This window comes from Homo sapiens, chromosome 12 (assembly GCF_000001405.40).
Source record: "Homo sapiens chromosome 12, GRCh38.p14 Primary Assembly".
Lineage (NCBI taxonomy): Eukaryota > Metazoa > Chordata > Mammalia > Primates > Hominidae > Homo > Homo sapiens.
In genome coordinates this window covers 55143877-55170149 of record NC_000012.12, presented here as the reverse complement: position 1 = coordinate 55170149, position 26273 = coordinate 55143877, and the positions used below count along the sequence as shown (strand labels likewise).

The window sequence follows — 26273 nt, the reverse complement described above, 5'->3', positions numbered from 1 at the left end:
GGAATTTTTATTTTGTTCACTATGCTTTTATAGACATTCTTATATATATATCTTCTCCAATATATGTGTAAGATAGTCTCTTGGATATCTGCTCAGGAGAGGAATTTCTGGGTCATAAGATATATATGTCCCACTACAGGAGATAATGACAAATGTGTTCTCTAATTATTTTCATTTATTTACAAATGCAATGTGAACCAGAGTCTGTAGACTACCTGTAGATACAATCTTATTTTTTCATTATCACCCCAACGACAATGAGAAATTATGAAAAAAATGCCTTCTTTGTACATTTTTAGTCATCATTATATAATGTTAATACCATAGACCACTGTATAACTGTTCATCTATTGTATGTAGAATTTTTATATTTATTTGTATGTATAAATTTTTAAAAGATATGATTTCTAAGAAATTATAGGGAGTAAGATTTTTCTACCACATACAAGAAGCAATTTTTCACCCTTAGAGGCAACAGTGCCCCTGTTAAGAATGCGTGCTGTAGACCATATACTCTCCAACATTGGCATCATCAGACTTTTTTATTTATTTCAAATTGAATGGGTGTAAAATGGAATTTTGTTATAATCTTAATTTCCATTTCTTTTATTAAAAACCCAATACATTTTATTGGTTGCTCTTCTATAAAATGTGTTAATCAATTTTACCCATTTCATGTAATTGATTAGACATTATTATAGATCTGTAGGCACTTAGTATATAATCTTGTTCAATTCTTTTGGCTTATATTTTGTACTTTTACTTTTTACAAAACATCCTTCTGGAGGAAACAATACTTAATTCTATTGTATTTACATGTACCTATCTTTTCTTGCATGGTTGATGCACTTTGTAATTTTTCAGCAATAAAAGTGTTGCATGATATAGGCCGGGTGTGGTGGCTCATACCTGTAATCTTAACACTTTGAGAGGCCTAGGCCAGTGGGTCACTTGAGGTCAGGAGTTCAAGACAAGCCTGGCCCACATAGTGAAACACCACCTCTACTAAAAATAGAAAAATAGCCGGGCGTGGTGGCACGTGCCTCTGATTCCAGCTACTCAAGAGGCTGAGGCAGGACAATTGCTTGAACACGGGAGACGGAGGTTGCAGTGAGCCAAGATCATGCCATTGTACTCCAGCCTGGGGAACAGAGCAAAACTCCATCTCCAAAAAAAAAAAAAAAATTATTGCATGATATAAAGAATTTTATACTTTTCCACGTAGAGTCTTATACATCTTTTACTAAATTATCCCTAAAAAGTTGATAATCTCTGATACACATGTAAAGGGTATAATCTTTTAAATTAAACGTCATATTTGTTTACTGCTGTTGTGTAAACGTGCAATTGATTTTTGTACATTAACCAAAACATCTTTATAAACTCTTCTTTATCTTTTTTACTAGTTTTTATTTTACTTTCAGGGGTATATGTGCAGGTTTGTTATATAGGTAAATTACACATTATGGGGGTTTGGTGTACAGGTTATTTAGTCGCCCAGGTAATAAGCATGGTATCCAATAGGTAGTTTTGCAATCCTAACCCTCCTCCCCGCTTCACCCTCAAGTAGCGCCGTTGTCTATTGTTCCTTCTTTGTGTCCACGTGTACTCAATGTATGAACTCTTCTTTAAATTATCATATAAATGACAGTTTAATCTCACATTTGATCCTTTATACTTTTAATTTTATTATTATCATATTGCACTGGCTAGATTTCCGATAGAATGTTGAACTGCAACAAAAATAATAGACATCTTGTCTTTTTCCTTTTTTTTTTTTTTGAGACAGAGTCTAGCTCAGTCACCCAGGCTGGAGTGCAGTGGCGTGACCTCAGCTCACTGCAAGCTCCACCTCCTAGGTTCACGCCATTCTCCTGCCTCAGCCTCCTGAGTAGCTGGGACTACAGGCGCCCGCCACCACGCCCTGCTAATTTTTTTATATTTTTAGTACAGACGGGGTTTCACTGTGTTAGCCAGGATGGTCTCGATCTCCTGACCTCGTGATCCACCTGTCTCGGCCTCCCAAAGTGCTGGGATTACAGGCGTGAGCCACGGCGCCCGGCTGTCTTTTTCCTAATTTTAAAGAAAATGCTTCTATTATTTTCCCATTTTAAATATGTGTTTATTCTGTTTGTATACACCTACTTTATTAGGTTAATGAAGCTTAGTTATTTTCTAAGGTTACTAAGTTTTTTGGTAATGTTAAAATTTGTCAAATGCTCTTTCTACAGCTTCTCAGACAATAATTTTAAAAAATCTTTTAGTTAATAAAGGGAATGTGACTGCATTTTTAATATTCAACCATTAATGTCTATCTGGTACACCAACTTACCCACAGTGATCAACTTTTATTATATCTAATACATTGTAAGTTTCAATTTGATAATATGTAAGCGATAAGCATCCTTTGCTTAAATTCATGGAATATTTACAAACCATAATATCTTGTCAAGCAAGCATTATAACTGTAAATTTCACCAAATAGATTTTTTGAGTTTAAATTCTCTAAACTTAAGATAATAAAATGGAATTGGGGGGAGGAGCCAAGATGGCCAAATAGGAACAGCTCCGGTCTACAGCTCCCAGCATGAGCGACGCAGAAGACGGGTGATTTCTGCACTTCCAACTGAGGTACAGCGTTCATCTCACTAGGGAGTGCCAGACAGTGGGCGCAGGTCAGTGGGTTCGCACACCGTGGGCGAGCCGAAGCAGGGCGAGGCATTGCCTCACTCGGGAAGCACAAGGGGTCAGGGAGTTCCCTTTCTGAGTCAAAGAAAGGGGTGACGGAGGGCACCTGGAAAATTCGGTCACTCCCACCTGAATACTGCGCTTTTCTGACGGGCTTAAAAAATGGCGCACCACGAGAGTATATCCGGCACCTGGCTCGGAGGGTCCTGCGCCCATGGAGTCTCGCTGATTGCTAGCACAGCAGTCTGAGATCAAACTGCAAGGCCTCAGCGAGGCTGGGGGAGGGGTGCCTGCCATTGCCCAGGCTTGATTAGGTAAACAAAGCAGCCTGGAAGCTCGAACTGGGTGGAGCCCACCACAGCTCAAGGAGGCCTGCCTGCCTCTGTAGGCTCCACCTCTGGGGGCAGGGTGCAGACAAACAAAAAGACAGCAGTAACCTCTGTAGACATAAATGTCCCTGTCTGACAGCTTTGAAGAGAGCAGTGGTTCTCCCAGCACGCAGCTGGAGATCTGAGAACGGGCAGACTGCCTCCTCAAGTGAGTCCCTGAACCCCGAGCAGCCTAACTGGGAGGCACCCCCAGCAGGAGCACACTGACACCTCACACGGCAGGGTATTCCAACAGACCTGCAGCTGAGGGTCCTGTCTGTTACAAGGAAAACTAACAAACAGAAAGGACATCCACACCAAAAACCCATCTGTACATCACCATCATCAAAGACCAAAAGTAGATAAAACCACCAAGATGGGGAAAAAACAGAACAGAAAAACTGGAAACTCTAAAAAGCAGAGCGCCTCTCCTCCTCCAAGGAAACGCAGTTCCTCACCAGCAACGGAACAAAGCTGGATGGAGAATGACTTTGACGAGCTGAGAGAAGAAGGCTTCAGACGATCAAATTACTCTGAGCTATGGGAGGACATTCAAACCAAAGGCAAAGAAGTTGAAAACTTTGAAAAAAATTTAGAAGAATGTATAACTAGAATAACCAATACAGAGAAGTGCTTAAAGGAGCTGATGGAGCTGAAAACCAAGGCTCGAGAACTATGTGAAGAATGCAGAAGCCTCAGGAGCCGATGCGATCAACTGGAAGAAAGGGTATCAGCAATGGAAGATGAAATAAATGAAGCGAGAAGGGAAGTTTAGAGAAAAAAGAATAAAAAGAAATGAGCAAAGCCTCCAAGAAATATGGGACTATGTGAAAAGACCAAATCTACGTCTGATTGGTGTACCTGAAAGTGATGGGGAGAATGGAACCAAGGTGGAAAACACTCTGCAGGATATTATCCAGGAGAACTTCCCCAATCTAGCAAGGCAGGCCAACGTTCAGATTCAGGAAATACAGAGAACACCACAAAGATACTCCTCGAGAAGAGCAACTCCAAGACACATAATCGTCAGATTCACCAAAGTTGAAATGAAGGAAAAAATGTTAAGGGCAGCCAGAGAGAAAGGTTGGGTTACCCTCAAAGGGAAGCCCATCAGACTAACAGCGGATCTCTCGGCAGAAACCCTACAAGCCAGAAGAGAGTGGGGGCCAATATTCAACATTCTTAAAGAAAAGAATTTTCAACCCAGAATTTCATATCCAGCCAAACTAAGCTTCATAAGTGAAGGAAAAATAAAATACTTTACAGACAAGCAAATGCTGAGAGATTTTGTCACCACCAGGCCTGCCCTAAAAGAGCTCCTGAAGGAAGCGCTAAACATGGAAAGGAACAACCGGTACCAGCCACTGCAAAATCATGCCAAAATGTAAAGAATATTGAGACTAGGAAGAAACTGCATCAACTAACGAGCAAAATCACCAGCTAACATCATAATGACAGGATCAAATTCACACATAACAATATTAACTTTAAATGTAAATGGACTAAATGCTCCAATTAAAAGACACAGACTGACAAATTGGATAAAGAGTCAAGACCCATCAGTGTGCTGTATTCAGGAAACCCATCTCACGTGCAGAGACACACATACGCTCAAAATAAAAGGATGGAGGAAGATCTACCAAGCCAATGGAAAACAAAAAATGGCAGGGGTTGCAATCCTAGTCTCTGATAAAACAGACTTTAAACCAACAAAGATCAAAAGACACAAAGAAGGCCATTACATAATGGTAAAGGGATCAATTCAACAAGAAGAGCTAACTATCCTAAATATACATGCACCCAATACAGGAGCACCAAGATTCAAAAAGCAAGTCCTGAGTGATCTACAAATAGACTTAGACTCCCACACATTAATAATGGGAGACTTTAACACCCCACTGTCAACATTAGACAGATCAACGAGACAGAAAGTCAACAAGGATACCCAGGAATTGAACTCAGCTCTGCACCAAGTGGACCTAATAGACATCTACAGAACTCTCCACCCCAAATCAACAGAATATACATTTTTTTCAGCACCACATCATACCTATTCCAAAATTGACCACATAGTTGGAAGTAAAGCACTCCTCAGCAAATGTAAAAGAATAGAAATTATAACAAACTGTCTCTCAGACCACAGTGCAATCAAACTAGAACTCAGGATTAAGAATCTCACTCAAAACTGCTCAACTACATGGAAACTGAACAACCTGCTCCTGAATGACTACTGGGTACATAACGAAATGAAGGCAGAAATAAAGATGTTCTTTGAAACCAATGAGAACAAAGACACAACATACCAGAATCTCTGGGACACATTCAAAGCAGTGTGTAGAGGGAAATTTATAGCACTAAATGCCCACAAGACAAAGCAGGAAAGATCCAAAATTGACACCCTAACATCACAATTAAAAGAACTAGAGAAGCAAGAGCAAACACATTCAAAAGCTAGCAGAAGGCAAGAAATAACTAAAATCAGAGCAGAACTGAAGGAAACAGAGACACAAAAAACCCTTCAAAAAATTAATGAATCCAGGAGCTGGTTTTTTGAAAGGATCAACAAAATTGATAGACCACTAGCAAGACTAATAAAGGGAAAAAGAGAGAAGAATCAAATAGACACAATAAAAAATGATAAGGGGGATATCACCACTGATCCCACAGAAATACAAACTACCATCAGAGAATACTACAAACACCTCTATGCAAATAAACTAGAAAATCTAGAAGAAATGGATAAATTCCTCGACACATACACTCTCCCAAGACTAAACCAGGAAGAAATTGAATCTCTGAATAGACCAATAGCAGGATCTGAAATTGTGGCAATAATCAATAGCTTACCAACCAAAAAGGGGCCAGGACCAGATGGATTCACAGCCGAATTCTACCAAAGGTACAAGGAGGAACTGGTACCATTCCTTCTGAAACTATTCCAATCAATAGAAAAAGAGGGAATCCTCCCTAACTCATTTTATGGGTCCAGCATCATTCTGTTACCAAAGCCAGGCAGAGACACAACAAAAAAAGAGAATTTTAGACCAATATTCTTGATGAACATTGATGCAAAAATCCTCAATAAAATACTGGCAAAACGAATCCAGCAGCACATCAAAAAGCTTATCCACCATGATCAAGTGGGCTTCATCCCTGGGATGCAAGGCTGGTTCAATATACACAAATCAATAAATGTAATCCAGCATATAAACAGAACCAAAGACAAAAACCACATGATTATCTCAATAGATGCAGAAAAAGCCTTTGACAAAATTCAACAACCCTTCATGCTAAAAACTCTCAATAAATTAGGTATTGATGGGATGTATTTCAAAATAATAAGAGCTATCTATGACAAACCCACAGCCAATATCATACTGAATGGGCAAAAACTGGAAGCATTCCCTTTGAAAACTAGCACAAGACAGGGATGCCCTCTCTCACCACTCCTATTCAACATAGTGTTGGAAGTTCTGGCCAGGGCAATCAGGCAGGAGAAGGAAATAAAGGGTATTCAATTAGGAAAAGAGGAAGTCAAATTGTCCCTGTTTGCAGATGACATGATTGTATATCTAGAAAACCCCATTGTCTCAGCCCAAAATGTCCTTAAGCTGATAACCAACTTCAGCAAAGTCTCAGGATACAAAATCAATGTGCAAAAATCACAAGCATTCTTATACACCAACAACAGACAAACAGAGAGCCAAATCATGAGTGAAATCCCATTCACAATTGCTTCAAAGAGAATAAAATACCTAGGAATCCAACTTACAAGGGATGTGAAGGACCTCTTCAAGGAGAACTGCAAACCACTACTCAAGGAAATAAAAGAGGATGCAAACAAATGGAAGAACATTCCATGCTCATGGGTAGGAAGAATCAATATTGTGAAAATGGCCATACTGCCCAAGGTAATTTACAGATTCAATGCCATCCCCATCAAGCTACCAATGCCTTTCTTCACAGAATTGGAAAAAACTACTTTAAAGTTCATATGGAACCAAAAAAGAGCCCGCATTGCCAAGTCAATCCTAAGCCAAAAGAACAAAGCTGGAGGCATCACACTACCTGACTTCAAACTATACTAAAAGGCTACAGTAACCAAAAGAGCATGGTACTGGTACCAAAACAGAGATATAGATCAATGGAACAGAACAGAGCTCTCAGAAATAACACCGCATATCTACAACTATCTGATCTTTGACAAACCTGAGAAAAACAAGAAATGGGGAAGGATTCCCTATTTAATAAATGGTGCTGGGAAAACTGGCTAGCCATATGTAGAAAGTTGAAACTGGATCCCTTCCTTACACCTTATACAAAAATCAATTCAAGATGGATTAAAGACTTAAACATTAGACCTAAAACCATAAAAACCCTAGAAGAAAACCTAGGCATTACCATTCAGGACATAGGCATGGGCACGGACTTCATGTCTAAAACACCAAAAGCAATGGCAACAAAAGACAAAATTGACATATGGGATCTAATTAAACTAAAGAGCTTCTGCACAGCAAAAGAAACTACCATCAGAGTGAATAGGCAACCTATAAAATGAGAGAAAATTTTCACAACCTACTCATCTGACAAAGGGCTAATATCCAGAATCTACAATGAACTCAAACAAATTTACAAGAAAAAAACAAACAACCCCATCAAAAAGTGGGCAAAGGACATGAACAGACACTTCTCAAAAGAAGATATTTATGCAGCCAAAAAACACATGAAAAAATGCACATCATCACTGGCCATCAGAGAAATGCAAATCAAAACCACAATAAGATACCATCTCACACCAGTTAGAATGGCAATCATTAAAAAGTCAGGAAACAACAGGTGCTGGAGAGGATGTGGAGAAATAGGAACACTTTTACACTGTTGGTGGGACTGTAAACTAGTTCAACCATTGTGGAAGTCAGTGTGGCGATTCCTCAGGGATCTAGAACTGGAAATACCATTTGAGCCAGCCATCCCATTACTGGGTATATACCCAAAGGACTATAAATCATGCTGCTATAAAGACACATGCACACGTATGTTTATTGCGGCATTATTCACAATAGCAAAGACTTGGAACCAACCCAAATGTCCAACAATGATAGACTGGATTAAGAAAATGTGGCACATATACACCATGGAATACTATGCAGCCATAAAAAATGATGAGTTCATGTCCTTTGTAGGGACATGGATGAAATTGGAAATCATCATTCTCAGTAAACTATCGCAAGAACAAAAAACCAAACACCGCATATTCTCACTGATAGGTGGCAACTGAACAATGAGAACACATGGACACAGGAAGGGGAACATCACACCCTGGGGACTGTTGTGGCGTGGGGGGAGGCGGGAGGGATAGCATTGGGAGACATACCTAATGCTAGATGACGAGTTAGTGGGTGCAGTGCACCAGCATGGCACATGTATACATATGTAACCTGCACATTGTGCACATGTACCCTAAAACTTAAAGTATATTAATAAAAAATAAATAAATAAATAAATAAAAGAAAAATCAACAATAAAAAGTTATTGTCTAAATAAAACAACTATATTGAAATAAGAAACCTTAACTAAATAATCCATAGGTGAAAATGAACATTAAAATTAACAAAATGTTATATATACAATAATAAAAATTAAAATAAATTACACTGAAAACTATTCAAAACTTTTAAACATAATTCATTAAATTAAAAACTGTAAATAAGATACTAAGCATTTAACGTTTAAATGCAGAAAAAAGATGGCTAATAAAACAAAAACTCTTAGAAACATAAAATAATTACATGAATGTACAGATACATATGCAGATATAATAACTTTAATGTTTGTATTAATATAATTATGATGTTATATGTTGCAATTTTGAATGTATTTAAGCAAAACAAAACAAAAACAAAAACTTATGCAATAACTAGATATTACACCATCAACTACTTTGAAAATAATGATATAGAACTCAAAATTCTAATGGTATAAAGTCAAACCACTGGCAAATTTAATTAAGGGACAAAAATAAAATTCTCAGGATTAAAAATAAAAAGTATATATAACCAAAGACATAGAAAGGATTAAATTATTAGAAAATAAAATTTAGGATATTAATATTTTCTTTTATTATGTCAATTAAAATTTATGATTTGGTTATTTGGCTTTACTATGTTAATATTTTTATTATTAATCTGAGAAAATATTTTACACATGGTAATAATTGTTCAAATCTAGAATAAAATAAAAATTTTCAAATCAATATATAAATTATAAAAGTGATGCAAGAACATACATAAAAGTTAATAGATCAATAAGCATAAATTATACTGATTATTTATCAAACATTTATTATTGAACCCCATGACAAGATAGTTTTACCGCAACTATATCACATTTATTTATTTATTTACTTATTTTTCTTCTGGATGAAATCATTAATATAGGTGGATGCTTTAGCAATATTACTGGTATAATATTTAGCCTTGCTCCTTTGCATAATGGTTTGGCAAAGCCAATAATTTACATTATATAATTTAGATTACCATAGCATTTCTAATTCTCATTTGCAAAAGTTGTACAATAGCCAACTTGATTATGATCTAGATTAAACAAATATTGAAGAACGTTAAGTAGTGTCTCTCTTTTTCCCTCTCCAATAGATTAGTATATAGATATTCATACATATATAGATATATTAATAAACTTAACGTGTATTTATGTATTAATTTGTGAATACTGTATTTCAGTTGCAGTTTTGAGTACAACTAAGACAATGAAGCAAGAATAACAAACTATGGAATACCTAGACAGCACACCATAAAATAATTATGTTGAAATATGAAAAATCTATATTGATTTTTAGTTCCTTTTGTTTTGTTTTTTTTTTTTGAGATGGAGTCTCGCTCTGTTGCCAGGGTGGAGTGCAGTGCCACGATCTCGGCTCACTGCAACCTCCGCCTCCTGGGTTCAAGTGATTCTCCTGCCTCAGCCTCCCGAGTAGCTGGGACTGCAGGTGCGTGCCACCACGCCCAGCTAATTTTTTGTATTTTTAGTAGAGACGCGGTTTCACCATGTTGGCCAGGATGGTCTCGATCTCCTGACCTCATGATCCACCCCCCTCGGTCTCCCTAAGTGCTGGGATTACAGGTTTGAGCCACCACGCCTGGCCTTTAATTCATTTTTAAAAGGATCTGTTGATGGTCAAAACACGAAAATAAACTTTCATCTCCATACTTTCAGATGTTTTTCTTTGAAATTATTCTATAATAAATTACTGATAGTATTGCTCTTAGTTGCTTCTATAGTTTTATAGATGGCTAGAGGCCAATGAAAAGATATTTTTCTTATCAATGTCCTTTTCAAAGCATTTTGCACCTATTTCTTAGACTATAAATCAGATATTTAACATAGGGATGACAAGAGTTTAGAATACAACTATAACCTTGCTCTTTGGAGATGGCCCCAGGTTGGGCATACATGAAGAATACAGTTCCATAGAATAAACTCACCACAGTGATGTGAGAGCTGCAAGTGGAGAAAGTCTTCCTTCTGCCGTGGGTTGAGAGAATCTTCAGGACAGTGGAGAGGATATGCACATAGGAAGCCAGAATGACAGTTGTGGTGGTGGTGATGAGAGCAGAGAGAATAAACAGTACTACCTCATTCACAAGGATGTCAATACATGAGATCTTGATCATGACTGAGACATCACAGAAAAAGTGCTCTAATCTGTTTTCTCCACAGAAATGCAAACTGAAGGTAAAACCTGTTTGTATCATGGAGTTGATGCATCCACAGATAGAGGAGCCAACCACCAAACAAACACAAGCTTGCTGAGACATACATACAGTATAGAAGAAAGGTGAACAAATAGCTGAGAAGCGATCATATGCCATCATATCCAGAAAAAAACCTTCAGTCCCAACAAAGAGAGCAAAGAAAAACAACTGTGTTGCTCAACCATTGTAAGAAATTTTCTTTTCCTTGGAAAATAAAGTAGTCAGTTTTGGAAGCAATAACTGTGGAGTAGCGGAGATCCAAATAGGACAAATTTCTGAGAAAGAAATACACAGGTGTGTGAAGTCTGGAGTCTATTTCAATGACAACTAACATGCTGAGATTTCTCAACACAATGACCATGTAGATAAGCAAGAACAGGAAGAATAAGAGAATCTGTGCTTCTGGCGATGTTCTGAATCCCAGCAGAATAAACTCTGTCACCTCTGAGTAATTCCTGTTCAGTTCGCTCTTCATAGCCAAGACCTATCTGAGAAAAATGAGTGGATTATAATGAAGCCTGGTCAACTTTTGGTCCCTGAAGTTGCCAACGGGAAAAAACAGACAAAAAAACGCTGATACAAATTGGAGTTTTCTTGGCAGTGCATCTGATAGAATAGTTTTACATTTAGAAGCAACCACAGTAAAATCAAAATAAGGTTATTTAGGTTTTTCCCGTCTATTTAGTTTTAGTATTATGTGAGAAATTTGAATGGGCACGGGATATTTCCAGCAGTAAATTATCAGTCATTTTATGCTGTTTGTGAAGAGCTTTGGAGTCATATGGGCTGCATCCAAATTTTACATCTTTCAGTATGAAAGAATCTAAGATAACCATCTACACTTTTGATACCTCAGAAGTCCTCCTCTGCCAAATGGGAGGCACCTGTGAAGATTACACAAAATTGAGTGTGAAAAGCAATATTTATAATGACACAAACATCTTAAAAACATACACGTCAGTGAAATAAATAAAAAAACAAACACAAAGTTTCTTGTGCTCTAAGAATGGAAAACTGAGTGAAAACATAGGTCAATTCCTTTCCCCACTACAAGATAATTAATGCAGTTAATTTGGTTCTTAAAACATTCTGCTACATAGAAGACATTAGGAAACATGGGGTTATAGTTTAATGAGGTAGAATGAACCACTAGTCTTGAGAATGTCATTCAAAATAATAAATCAGACTCTTATCCCCTACATTAACCACATATTGTTCAGCTTCCAGGTCCTTCATTTACTATTAGTGTCTGAATGCTGGTGGCTCCCTTTTCTGGCACCCAAACTGCAGCATGCCTTTTCTTTTTACTGCCATAGACATATGAATTATTTTGTTTATATAGGAACACTATGGTTAGGTATAAGATTAACTTCCCCAACAAGAAATGTTTTCCCCTCTATATATTGTTAACAAAGCACAAGACAATAATGCAAATAAGTGTGGGGGGAGGGGGTGGAAATTCTGTATTGCATGGGTTCTGTTTTTTGTATTTTTCTAACTATTAATGCTTAATAGTAAATACTAAAGAGGCACAGAGATAAAACATTAATAATTTTTAAGATATCTAAAACATTAAATTAAAGTGGAAAAAATAAATTTTATATTATAAATCAATGGTTTTATTACTACATTTAATTTCTGAATTAGCAAAAGAGAAGCTTTTTCTGTCTAGAAACTTAATATATTTGAAGTTACATAGTTTTATTTAGAAATTTTCATAAAATTGAGGAGCCAAGATGGCGGAATAGGAACAGCTCCGGTCTACAGCTCCCAGCGTGAGCAACGCAGAAGAGGGGTGATTTCTGCATTTCCAACTGAGGTACTGGGTTCATCTCACAGGGGAGTGCCAGACAGTAGGTGCAGGACAGTGGGTGCAGCGCACCATGCGTGAGCCGAAGCAGGGCGATGTATCGCCTCACCTGGGAAGCGAAAGGGGTCAGGGAATTCCCTTTCCTAGTCAAAGAAAGGGGTGACAGATGGCACCTGGAGAATTGGGTCACTCCCACCCTAATACTGTGCTTTTCCAACAGGCTTAAAAAATGGCACACCAGGAGATTATATCCCGCACATGGCTTGGAGGGTCCTACGCCCACAGAGTCTCACTCATTGCTAGCACAGCAGTCCCAGATCAAACTGCAAGGTGGCAGCCAGGCTGTGGGAGGGGCGCCCACCATTGCCAAGTTAGTTGTTTGATTAGGTAAACAAAGCAGCCTGGAAGCTCGAACTGGGTGGAGCCCACCACAGCTCAAGGAGGCCTGCCTGCTTCTGTAGGCTCCACCTCTCAGGGCAGGGCGCAGACAAACAAAAAGACAGCAGTAACCTCTGCAGACTTAAATGTACCTCTCTGACAGCTTTGAAGAGAGTAGTGGTTCTCCCAGCATGCAGCTTGAGATCTGAGAACAGGCAGACTGCCTCCTCAAGTGGGTCCCTGAACCCCGAGTAGCCTAACTGGGAGGCACCCCCCAGTAGGGGCGGACTGACACCTCACACAGCCAGGTACTCCTCTGAGACAAAACTTCCAGAGGAATGATGAGACAGCAGCATTTGCAGTTCACCAATATATGCTGTTCTACAGCCACCGCTGCTGATACCCAGGCAAACAGGGTCTGGAGTGGACCTCTAGCAAACTCCAACAGACCTGCAGCTGAGGGTCCTGTCTGTTAGAAGGAAAACTAACAAACAGAAAGGACATCCACACCAAAAACCCATGTGTACGTCACCATCATCAAAGACCAAAGGTAGATAAAACCACAAAGATGGGAAAAACACAGAGCAGAAAAACTGGAAACTCTAAAAATCAGAGCACCTCTCCTCCTCCAAAGGAACGCAGCTCCTCACCAGCAACAGAACAAAGCTGGACGGAGAATGACTTTGACGAGTTGAGAGAAGAAGGCTTCAGATGATCAAACTACTCCGAGCTACAGGAGGAAATTCAAACCAATGGCAAAGAAATTAAAAGCCTTGAAAAAAAATTAGATGAATGGATAACTAGAATAACCAATGCAGAGAAGTCCTTAAAGGACCTGATGGAGCTGAAAACCAAGGCTCGAGAGCTACGTGATGAATGCAGAAGCCTCAGTAGCCGATGAGAACAACTGGAAGAAAGGGTATCAGTGATGGAAGATGAAATGAATGAAATGAAGCGAGAAGAGAAGTTTAGAGAAAAAAGAATAAAAAGAAATGAACAAAGCCTCCAAGAAATATGGGACTGTGTGAAAAGACCAAATCTATGTCTGATTGGTGTAATTGAAAGTGATGGGGAGAATGGAACCAAGTTGGAAAACACTCTGCAGAATATTATCCAGGAGAACTTCCCCAATCTAGCAAGGCAGGCCAACATTCAAATTCAGGAAATACAGAGAATGCCACAAAGATATTCCTCGAGAAGAGCAACTCCAAGACACATAGTTGTCAGATTCACCAAAGTTGAAATGAAGGAAAAAATGTTAAGGGCAGCCAGAGAGAAAGGTTGGGTTACCCACAAAGGGAAGCCCATCAGACTAACAGCGGATCTCCCGGCAGAAACTTTACAAGCCAGAAGAGAGTGGGGGCCAATATTCAACATTCTTAAAGAAAAGAATTTTCAACCCAGAATTTCATATCTAGCCAAACTAAGCTTCATAAGTGAAGGAGAAATAAAATACTTTAAGACAAGCAAACGCAGAGAGATTTTGTCACCACCAGGCCTGCCCTACAAGAGCTCCTGAAGGAAGCACTAAACATGGAAAGGAACAACTGGTACCAGCCACTGCAAAAACATGCTGAATTGTAAAGACCATCAAGCCTAGGAAGAAACTGCATCAACTAACGAGCAAAATCACCAGCTAACATCATAATGACAGGATCATATTCACACATAACAATATTAACCTTAAATGTAAATCGACTAAATGCTCCAATTAAAAGACACAGACTGGCAAATTGGATAAAGAGTCAAAACCCATCAGTGTGCTGTATTCAGGAAACCCATCTCACGTGCAGAGACACACATACGCTCAAAATAAAGGGATGGAGGAAGATCTACCCAGCAAATGGAAAACTAAAAAAGGCAGGGGTTGCAATCCTAGTCTCTGATAAAACAGACTTTAAACCAACAAAGATCAAAAGAGACAAAGAAGGCCATTACATAATGGTAAAGGGATCAATTCAACAAGAAGAGCTAACTATCCTAAATATATATGCACCCAATACAGGAGCACCCAGATTCATAAAGCAAGTCCTGAGTGACCTACAAAGAGACTTAGACTCCCACACAATAATAATGGGAGACTTTAACACCCCACTGTCAACATTAGACAGATCAATGAGACAGAAAGTTAACAAGGATACCCAGGAATTGAACTCAGCTCTGCACCAAGTGGACCTAATAGACATCTACAGAACTCTCCACCCCAAATCAACAGAATATACATTCTTTTCAGCACAACACCACACCTACTCCAAAATTGACCACATAGTTGGAAGTAAAGCACTCCTCAGCAAATGTAAAAGAATAGAAATTATAACAAACTGTCTCTCAGACCACAGTGCAATCAAACTAGAACTCAGGATTAAGAAACTCACTCAAAACTGCTCAACTACATGGAAACTGAACAACCTGCTCCTGAATGACTACTGGGTACATAATGAAATGAAGGCAGAAATAAAGATGTTCTTTGAAACCAATGAGAACAAAGACACAACATACCAGAATCTCTGGGACACATTCAAAGCAGTGTGTAGAGGGAAATTTATAGCACTAAATGCCCACAAGACAAAGCAAGAAAGATCTAAAATTGACACCCTAACATCACAATTAAAAGAACTAGAAAAGCAAGAGCAAACACATTCAAAAGCTAGCAGAAGGCAGGAAATAACTAAGATCAGAGCAGAACTGAAGGAAATAGAGACACAAAAATCCCTTCAAAAAATTAATGAATCCAGGAGCTGGTTTTTTGAAAAGATAAACAAAATTGATAGACCGCTAGCAAGACTAATAAAGAAGAAAAGAGAGAAGAATCAAATAGATGCAATAAAAAATGATAAGGGGGATATCACCACCGATCCCACAGAAATACAAACTACCATCAGAGAATACTACAAACACCTCTACGCAAATAAACTAGAAAATCTAGAAGAAATGGATAAATTCCTCGACACATACACTCTCCCAAGACTAAACCAGGAAGAAGTTGAATCTCTGAATAGACCAGTAACAGGCTCTGAAATTGAGGCAATAATCAATAGCTTACCAACCAAAACAAGTCCAGGACTAGATGAATTCACAGCCAAATTCTACCAGAGGTTCAAAGAGGAACTGGTACCATTCCTTCTGAAACTATTCCAATCAATAGAAAAAGAGGGAATCCTCCCTAACTCATTTTAAGAGGCCAGCATCATCCTGATACCAAAGCCTGGCAGAGACACAACCAAAAAAGAGAATTTTAGACCAATATCCTTGATGAACATCGATGCAAAAATCCTCAATAAAATACTGGCAAACCGAATCCAGCAGCACATCAAAAAGCTTATCCACCATGATCAAGTGGGCTTCATCCCTGGGATGCAAGGCTGGTTCAACATATGCAAATCAATAAATGTAATCCAGCGTATAAACAGAGCCAAAGACAAAAACCACATGATTATCTCAATAGATGCAGAAAAGGCCTTTGACAAAATTCAACAACCATTCATGCTAAAAACTCTCAATAAACTAGGTATTGATGGGACGTATCTCAAAATAATAAGAGCTATCTATTGACAAACCCACAGCCAATATCATACTGAATGCACAGAAACTGGAAGCATTCCCTTTGAAAACGGGCACAAGACAGGGATGCCCTCTCTCACCACTCCTATTCAACATATTGTTGGAAGTTCTGGCCAGGGCAATCAGGCAGGAGAAGGAAATAAAGGGTATTCAATTAGGAAAAGAGGAAGTCAAATTGTCCCTATTTGCAGATGACATGATTGTATATCTAGAAAACCCCATGGTCTCAGCCCAAAATCTCCTTAAGCTGATAAGCAACTTCAGCAAAGTCTCGGGATACAAAATCAATGTGCAAAAATCACAAGCATTCTTATACACCAATAACAGACAAACAGAGAGCCAAATCATGAGTGAACTCCCATTCACAATTGCTTCAAAGAGAATAAAATACCTAGGAATCCAACTTACAAGGGATGTGAAGGACCTCTTCAAGGAGAACTAGAAACCACTGCTCAAGGAAATAAAAGAGGATACAAACAAATGGAAGAACATTCCATGCTCATGGGTAGGAAGAATCAATATCGTGAAAATGGCCATACTGCCCAAGGTAATTTATAGATTCAATGCCATCCCCATCAAGCTACCAATGACTTTCTTCACAGAATTGGAAAAAACTACTTTAAAGTTCATATGGAAACAAAAAGCCTGCATCGCCAAGTCAATCCTAAGCCAAGAGAAAAAAGCTGGAGGCATCACGCTACCTGACTTCAAACTATACAAGGCTACAGTAACCAAAACAGCATGGTACTGGTACCAAAACAGAGATATAGACAACTGGAACAGAACAGAGCCCTCAGAAATAATGCCACATATCTACAACTAACTGATCTTTGACAAACCTGACAAAAACAAGCAATGGGGAAAGGATTCCCTATTTAATAAATGGTGCTGGCAAAACTGGCTAGCCATATGGAGAAAGCTGAAATTGGATCCCTTCCTTATACCTTATACAAAAATCAATTCAAGATGGATTAAAGACTTAAATGTTAGATCTAAAGCCATAAAAACCCTAGAAGAAAACCTAGGCAATACCATTCAGGACATAGGCATGGGCAAGGACTTCATGTCTAAAACACTTAAAGCAATGGCAACAAAAGCCAAAATTGACAAATGGGATCTAATTAAACTAAAGAGCTTCTGCACAGCAAAAGAAACTACCATCAGAGTGAACAGGCAACCTACAGAATGGGAGAAAATTTTTGCAACCTACTCATCTGACAAAGGGCTAATATTGAACTCAAACAAATTTACAAGAAAAAAACAAACAACCCCAACGAAAAGTGGGCAAAGGATATGAACAGACACTTCCCAAAAGAAGACATTTATGCAGCCAAAAAACACATGAAAAAATGCTCATCATCACTGGCCATCAGAGAAATGCAAATCAAAACCACAATGAGGTACTGTCTCACAACAGTTAGAATGGCGATCATTAAAAAAGTCAGGAAACAACAGGTGCTGAAGAGGATGTGGAGAAATAGGAACACTTTTACACTGTTGGTGGGACTGTAAACTAGTTCAACTATTGTGGAAGTCAGTGTGGCGATTCCTCAGGGATCTAGAACTAGAAATACCATTTGACCCAGCCATCCCATTACTGGGTATATACCCAAAGGATTATAAATCATGCTGCTATAAAGACACATGCACACGTATGTTTATAGCAGCACTATTCACAACAGTAAAGACTTGGAACCAACCTAAATGTCCAACAATGATAGACTGGATTAAGAAAATGTGGCACATATACACCATGGAATACTATGCATCCATAAAAAATGATGAGTTCATGTCCTTTGTAGGGACATGGATGAAACTGGAAACCATCATTCTCAGCAAACTATTGCAAGGACAATAAACCAAACACTGCATGTTCTCACTCGTAGTTGGGAATTGAACAGTGAGAACACATGGACACAGGAAGGGGAACATCATACACCGGGGACTGTTGTGGGGTGGGGGGAGGGGGGAGGGATAGCATTAGGAGACATACCTAATGCTAAATGACGAGTTAATGGGTGCAGCACACCAACATGGCACATGTATACATATGTAACAAACCTGCACGTTGTGCACATGTACCCTAAAACTTAAAGTATAATAATAAAATTAAAAAAAATTTTTCATAAAATTAAATGTACATTATAGTCAGAAAAATGAAGCTGATTTGGCTTCTGTTATGAATTTTTTATGAAGTCAACGTTTTATTAGTTAAAAGGATGGTGTTTTCATTTACATAAATCTAGTTTTTAATTCATGCTCTGCCACTCACTGGCTGAGTAATCTTGGGCAAATTATTTAAATTCCATGAGCCTCTGATTGCCCATCAACAAAATATGGTTTGGATCATCTGCTTCACAGGATTTCTGTTGTAAGGAATAAATTAAATGATATATATAAATTAAATGAAATATGTAACACATGGGAAAGAGAAAGGGCTCAATAAATAATTGATATATAAGAAAATGAGCAAGAAAAAATGAAAAACTTTTGCTAAATTTTAAAACCTGTATTATGAAAAATTTATGATTTTCAAAAAAACAAGTACCTCTCTTGATATCCAGCTTTTTCCCAAAAAAGCCTCATTGAAGTATTTTGAAAGTTCTTTTCAAAAGAAAAAAGAAAGTTCTTTGTTCTTTTAAAGGAAGCTTTGAAGAAAGCATAATTAATTACAAAAAATGCTTCACAGTATATGTAGATTTATTCAAGTATCTGAGTACACTAGACAAGTATATCTATTTCTAAGTTTCTTATGTCTCTTCCTTATTAGAATCAAAAGAGAATCTTAGACTGAATCTTCAGCTTGAACCTCAAGAAAATCTTGCTATTAATATTATACAAAGTCAGGACTGAGAAATCTTCCTACATGCTACCTGCCGTAAGTTCTAAGTCCTTTGATCCAGCAATACAGGTATTCTTAAAAACAAGAAAGTAAATTAGAAAATATATATATATATATATATATATATATATATATATATATATATATATATATATATATAAATGTGTCGTCTTTTTGAAAAATATAAAGGACCCTGGAGGTGAATTAGGTCACTATTTGACAAACTTTCCCATACCTCAGAATCACCTGGAGGTTTTGTTTTGCTTTTCTTTTAATACTAATTCCTCGGTCACACTTTAATCTGAATATTGAAAAGAGTCTATTAGTGAGATGAGTGTGGGGAGGTACTCATTTATTTTCAAGAGTCCCAACTAAATCATAAAGTCACTCCCTGTAGACGTAGAAGTTTCTAGAAGTTTGAGAACCAGTTCATTGCTTCCAAGCAGAACAACAATTTTCTCATTCAAAGTTACTCAAAGTCACTAATAATTGTAAAGATTATTCTGAAAGGGTATTTCTCATATTTCCTGCATTGTTTCACAAATATGACTTCCAGGGATTTCTGTCTTTATTATACACAAATATGCAATAAACTGAGCTCATTTCATGCTTTCTGATGCCAATGGATACTAGGTTAAGTTGATGACACTTATTTAATGGTGATCACTAAATGCCGCTTACGTAAATTGGGCTCACCACCATCTCCCCCCGCACCCCCTCACACACACATTCCCAGGCATTTCTTTAGGTTTTTTGGTTTTTGTTTTTGTTAACATTTCCACTTTATACACCTAGTTTTATCTTGGTTTCTGAAAGAGCTACTGAGAAATATCATAAAAATAGAAAGTATATTTTACATAGAGTGTGGGGTCTTGATCTGGAACATCTGAAGGAATTTCTAAGATGTTATAAAACTCCTATAATTGTAAACAAAATTTTGTGTGTATAATAGCTTTCATGATTCATGTTAAATTCTAAATACAATGTGACTTAAAATGAGTAGGAATAAAATGACAAGTGATATACGTATTGGTCAAAAATAATTGGACAAGGAAAACAAAGAGTATATGTAACCTTTTTCACATTCAAACTGCCGAAGTGTCTTTAATATGCACCATTCAGTCATCATAATACATGGTATACATTTGGTATTATAGATTATTTTTAAAATTATGAGTATATTTAAAAATATATTTTATAAAATATAATAGTTACCAAGTACTTTAAAATTCTGTAACACTAAAAGTATGCTGATTTACAGTTCCTCCGTTTTCTCAATTTTTCAAAATTGCTGCATTTTCTCACATTGTTATTTTAACTTCTTATGTACACGTATTAATTTTTGAATATTTATATAGTCAACTCTACCAGCATTTATAATCTCCCCCAAAGCAAGATATCAAATACATTTAAATTTTTTATTTTCACACATACTTTTCATAATCTGTATTATTTTTTTCACTTTCCAATCACATACATACCTCATCAGTAAACTGGAGATGACAATGGTAACTTTCTCTTGAAGTTGCTGTGTTGACTAAATACATTAATGTATGTAAAACACAGCACTGTATGTGTAAGTTAACATTATTATATCTCAAATATACTACGAAAAAATAAGCTACAGTTCAAAGAGCAACAGTAACAACGATATTAGCACTAGGAATGTTCAGAATAGTGAGGGGAAAAAAAGATAAATGAGGCTTCACCTGAAAGAGGAAAGTTGTAATCCTTTAGAGCAAAACAATTTTGAAAGAATTGAAACAGAGACCAATCATCTATAAAATTAGGGTCCTATAAAACAATATGTTATGGAAGATGTAAGTTTTATATTCCATTTCTTCCCTAATTTGTTATAGAGGTGTTCAAAATTTGCTTCAGATGATTTGAAGAGAGTAAATCATTAATGAGACATGAAGGTAGCTCTTTTCCCAAATTTGTGAGAGTGACAGTGTAAAGTCTCCTGGAGATAATCAGTGAGCTCTACGGTCCAGAAAAGCTGACCGACGATGCTTATTAGGTAAAAAGATAGAGACTCCCGAACTCATAAAACATAGTGACTTTACATTTTTAAAATTAAGGAAAAATACATGACTGACTTCTTGTGTGATAATTCCTATTAAGGAAATAAGGAATTGGAGTTCCTAGTACATGAATGACAGATATCTGTATTATTTATAATATGGAATCAAAGAGATTCTTGAGGATAGAACAAAAAATGCTGAGAACTAAGAGATGTGATCCTAAGAAAGTTACCATCCTGACAGAATCTGACTTTCCGAATACAAGACTATTCTGCAAAAAAATCAACAGAAATATATTATTTCTTCCTTGATCATCTTCTAGACTTTTCAGGCAACTTCATCAACACTAGGCCAGTTTTATCCATGGGAAATTTAACTTCCATCAGTAACTCTTGAATGTTCAATGAGAAACAGTGGGTTTATTTTGTGTGTGTGTGTGTGTGTGTGTGTGTGTGAGTGTGTGTGTGTGTGTTTTGAGATGGAGTCTCGCTTTGTCACCCAGGCTGGAGTGCAGTGGCGTGATCTCAGCTCACTGCAACCTCTGCCTCCTGGGTTCAAGAGATTCTCCTGCCTCAGCCTCTCGAGTAGCTGGGAGTACGGGTGCGTGCCGCCATGTCTGGCTAATTTTTCTATCTTTAGTAGAGACAGGGTTTTGCCATGTAGGCCAGGCTGCTCTTGAGCTCTTGACCTCAGGTGATTAGCCCTCCTCATCTCCCAAGTAGCTTGGGACTACAGGCATGCGCCACCACCCCAGGCTGATTTTTGTATTTTTAGTAGAGACAGGGTTTCACCATTTTGGCCAGGCTGGTCTGGAACTCCTGGCCTCAAGTGATCCACCAGCCTTGGTCTTCCAGAGTTCTGGGATTACAGGCAAGAGACACCACACCAGGCTGAGAAACAATGGGTTTATGATATTGATCATACCTGTGAGAGTCTCTGGTTAAATTAATAATAATAATAATAATCATCATCATCATCATAATAATAATAAACTTGGAGGTCCCAACGGAAAATACCTGCTTTTCTGCTCTTCAGGATGATTAGAAAAGAAGTTTAATTAATGGGAAAATAAAACAGCTGTGACTAGACTTCTGATTCTGGCCAAGATGAAGTAATAGAAAACAGATTTACTTTCCTGAGTAAACAACAACAAAAGAGAATTTCAATCTCTGTCTGTCTCTCTCTCTGCCTTTCTCTTACTCTTGCTCTCTCACCCCTCCTCCTTTTCCCTCTTTCTCTCCCTGCTCCTTTTTGTGTGATAGATCGATAGATGCATATAGGATATGTATATAAATGTATATATATAATATATAACACAGAAACACACACATATGTGTATATATATTCCACAAGACACTAGACAGCATACAATAAAGAACAGTGGCTCCACAAAGGTAAGAAATAAATATGGTAAGTCCAATGATTGCCTTAGTTTATTTCATTGATAGCATTTTTAAAGATTGAAATTATAGTTTAAAACTTTCCCACAAAGAAACCACCTGGCCCACTTTAATCACTGGTGAATGTTACTGAACATTTAAGCAAAAACATTCTATTCTACGAAAACTTTCCCAGAACATTTTAAATGAGGGGATATTCTCAACTTATTCTATGTAGCCAATGTAATGTTGATATTAAACCAAGTGGAGACAGAACAGAAAAAGAAAACTACAGGCCAGTATCTTCTGTGAACATAATTCCTAAACAAAATTTTAGTAATTTCAATCCAACAAAACATTGAAAGGATAATACACTATGACCACATAAGGTTTAATCCTAGGAATGCAAAGCTAGATTAACATTCAAAAATAAATCAATTTAATTTACTATATTAACAATCTAAAAAAAAGTAAAAAAAACAAAAAACAAAAAACGGGCGTGGTGGCTCACGCCTGTAATCCCAGCACTTTGGGAGGCTGAGGCGGGCGGATCACCTGAGGTCAGGAGATGGAGACCATCCTGGCTAACACGGTGAAACTCTGTCTCTACTAAAAATACAAAAAATTAGCCGGGTGTGGTGACACATGCCTGTAATCCCAGCTACTCTGAAGTGGCTGAGGCAGGAGAATCACTTGAACCTGGGAGGCGGAGGTTGAGGTGAGCCGAGATCGCACCATTGCACTGCAGCCTGGGCAACAAGAGGGAAACTCCATCTCAAAAAAAAAAAAAAAAGAAGAAGAAAGAAAAAAACAACTATAATCATCCCACTAGATGCACAAAAAAGCATTTCACAAAACCAATTATTCATTCCTGATAATAGCTCTCAGGAATTTTCCTCAGCGTGATAAGGGCCATCTATGAAAAACCTATAGGTGTATGATCCTTAATGGTGAAAGACTGAATCATTTTCCCTAAGGTCAGGAACAAGACAATAGGTCTGTCCTGCCACTTATTTTCAACAATTACTATTCTATACTCCGTGTTTTATCTATTTGTGAATGAATGAATGGAATGCAACCTTACCATAAAATGTAAAGTAACTGATATAGAAGAAATGATGGAATAAGAAAATTAGCCCTTGGCAACCCTCAAAGTCATAACTGATTCATTTGAGTCATGCACGGGCTAAAGATAATGGACGAAAGTGTGATAAGAAAGAGACTATTACATAGTTTAAAATATCTCTCAACAAAATACTTATTAATTACTCTTATTAAACACTAAATACACTTATTAATTATCTATCCAGTGGAGAAACCTGGAAGACATCATCTTAACAAAATAATAAAAGTTAACATTGTCAGTAAGGAGACAAATCATCACCATGGCGAGCCTCCTGATATTATGGACTAATAAAAGAAGCAACACTTCCGTGGTATTCCTGCCCCAAACACAGATCCTGAACCTAGTTCAACAGGAAATATTAAACTAAAATGAACAGACATTTCAAAAGGTCAAAGATGTGAAAAAAAAGGAAAGACTGAGAAACACTTTCATATTGAAAGAGATTAGAGAGGTATGACAAATGCAACATGTAATACTGGGTCAGATGCTGAACAAGAGAGAAAAGGGTATAAGAGAAGAAAGCATTTTTTTTTTTCCTAACAAGAGAATTGTCAGGTCAATTGGTAAAATTTCAGTGGGGTCTATGATAAAAATAATGGTACTGAGAAATATTTTTGTAATCTAGCTATGTTCCAAATTGGTTAAAATGTGCATCTACTAAAAAAGGCATCTAATTTAGAAAAATATATAAATCATGGACACATTACTTATTATCAAAAAATCTTTATTTTTTAACCTTAAAAATTTAAATAACTTATCTAAAATGTAAAATTTGGGATTTAGAAGATCATTTATTAGTTTTTGTGAATTTCACTAATTTGGAAAGCACAATACCTAAAATACCGTATCAAAATTTATATTTGATGTTAAAAAACTGGTTTTAATAATAAATATTTTCAGGACAACCTTATAGGGATTTGAATAAGCCAATTTGTTCATGATAAATCTCTTCATTTATATACATCCTGCTGTTTCTCTGCTTTTCTGGAGAAGTTTGACTAATACACTTTCATTGCAAAACAAGGAACTTTATTTCATTATTTTTATATACAATAAATAAAAATTACCAACATAAAATAAATAAAAACTATGATCAATAATTTGATGATAAAATAATTAAAAATTAAAATGTAAAGAAAAGCAAAAAAATTGATTTAGACAACAGTAAAAAACATGTAGTGAACTTTTAAGTTCTTTCAAACTATTGCATAAGAAACTCTATTGAACATTTGCATACTTTTTTGAATAAAAAGTAAACAAACAGGCTGGGCGTGGTGGCTCACACCTGTAATCCCAACACTTTGGGAGGCCAAGGCAGGCAGATGGCTTGAGGCCATGAGTTTCATACCAGCTTGGCCAACATAGCAAAACCTAGTCTCTACTTAAAATACAAAATTTAGCCAGGCGAGGTGGTACCTGCCTGCAATCCCAGCTACTTGGGAGGCTAAGGCATGAGAATTGCTGGAACCCAGGAGGTGGAGTTTGAAGTGGGCCAAGATCGCACCTCTGCTGGGCGACAGAGCCAGATGCTGTCTCAAAAAAAAAAAAAAAAAAGAAAAAGAAAAAGAAAAGAAAAGAAAAAGAAAAAGAAAAGAAAGAAAGAAAATAAAAAACATTAATAAATTTAAATCATCTAATTAAATATGTCAGTGGAAAAATGATTTTGTCTTCTTGAATAATGGAGTTATTGAATATAAAAAATATCAGAGAGCATTAAAGGAGCCAGAAAACTTCAAATGTTGATAATAGTTATCAGAAATTTGAAGAGAATTCAGCACTATAGAAATTTTGCTGAAAAAAATTCTTTTGAACACCACATCATGTGATAACTTTTCATTTAATGGGACAACTTTTGTAATGGTTTGGTCTAGTCTAGTTGTTTCACATCAAACTGTGGCTCAGACAGTATTTAGTGGTAAGATGTAAATCCAAAGATTCCCCCAATAATTTGTAAAAATCAATAGATTTGCTAAAAATTTTATCATTCATTAAGCAGTTTACTAAGATCATAAAAGGGACTTTTTATTGATTTACGTATTGATATATAAGCATTTGTATATATCAATTACTGAACAGCTGTTAAATATTTTGATTATAACCCCTTCTGTTAACCACTAAAATCATTCCTCAAAACTCTTCCCATAAAAAACACTTGTCCAGATGGCATCTTGTCAGTTTTTGCAAACCTTCAAGGAGCAGAAAATTTCAACCACCTCTTTAGAATAAAAAGAAGAAAAACTTCACCTTTTAATGATGTAATACAAGCTTGAGTCCAAAAGGTGCCATGGTTATTATGAGGAAAATAAATAATGTTCTGTCTTGATG

At 37.0% G+C, this 26273-nt stretch overlaps 1 pseudogene, besides 1 other annotated feature; it reads right to left on the bottom strand.

The window, feature by feature from the left end:
- Positions 2790 to 3368: an enhancer, noted in NCBI's record as "NANOG-H3K27ac-H3K4me1 hESC enhancer chr12:55560566-55561144 (GRCh37/hg19 assembly coordinates)". NCBI's record gives its function as "activates a minimal SCP1, AML or CMV promoter by ChIP-STARR-seq in primed H9 embryonic stem cells {active_cell/tissue: H9 hESC(primed)}" and the evidence as "EXISTENCE:reporter gene assay evidence [ECO:0000049][PMID:30033119]".
- On the bottom strand, positions 10349 to 11302 carry OR9R1P (olfactory receptor family 9 subfamily R member 1 pseudogene; annotated as a pseudogene).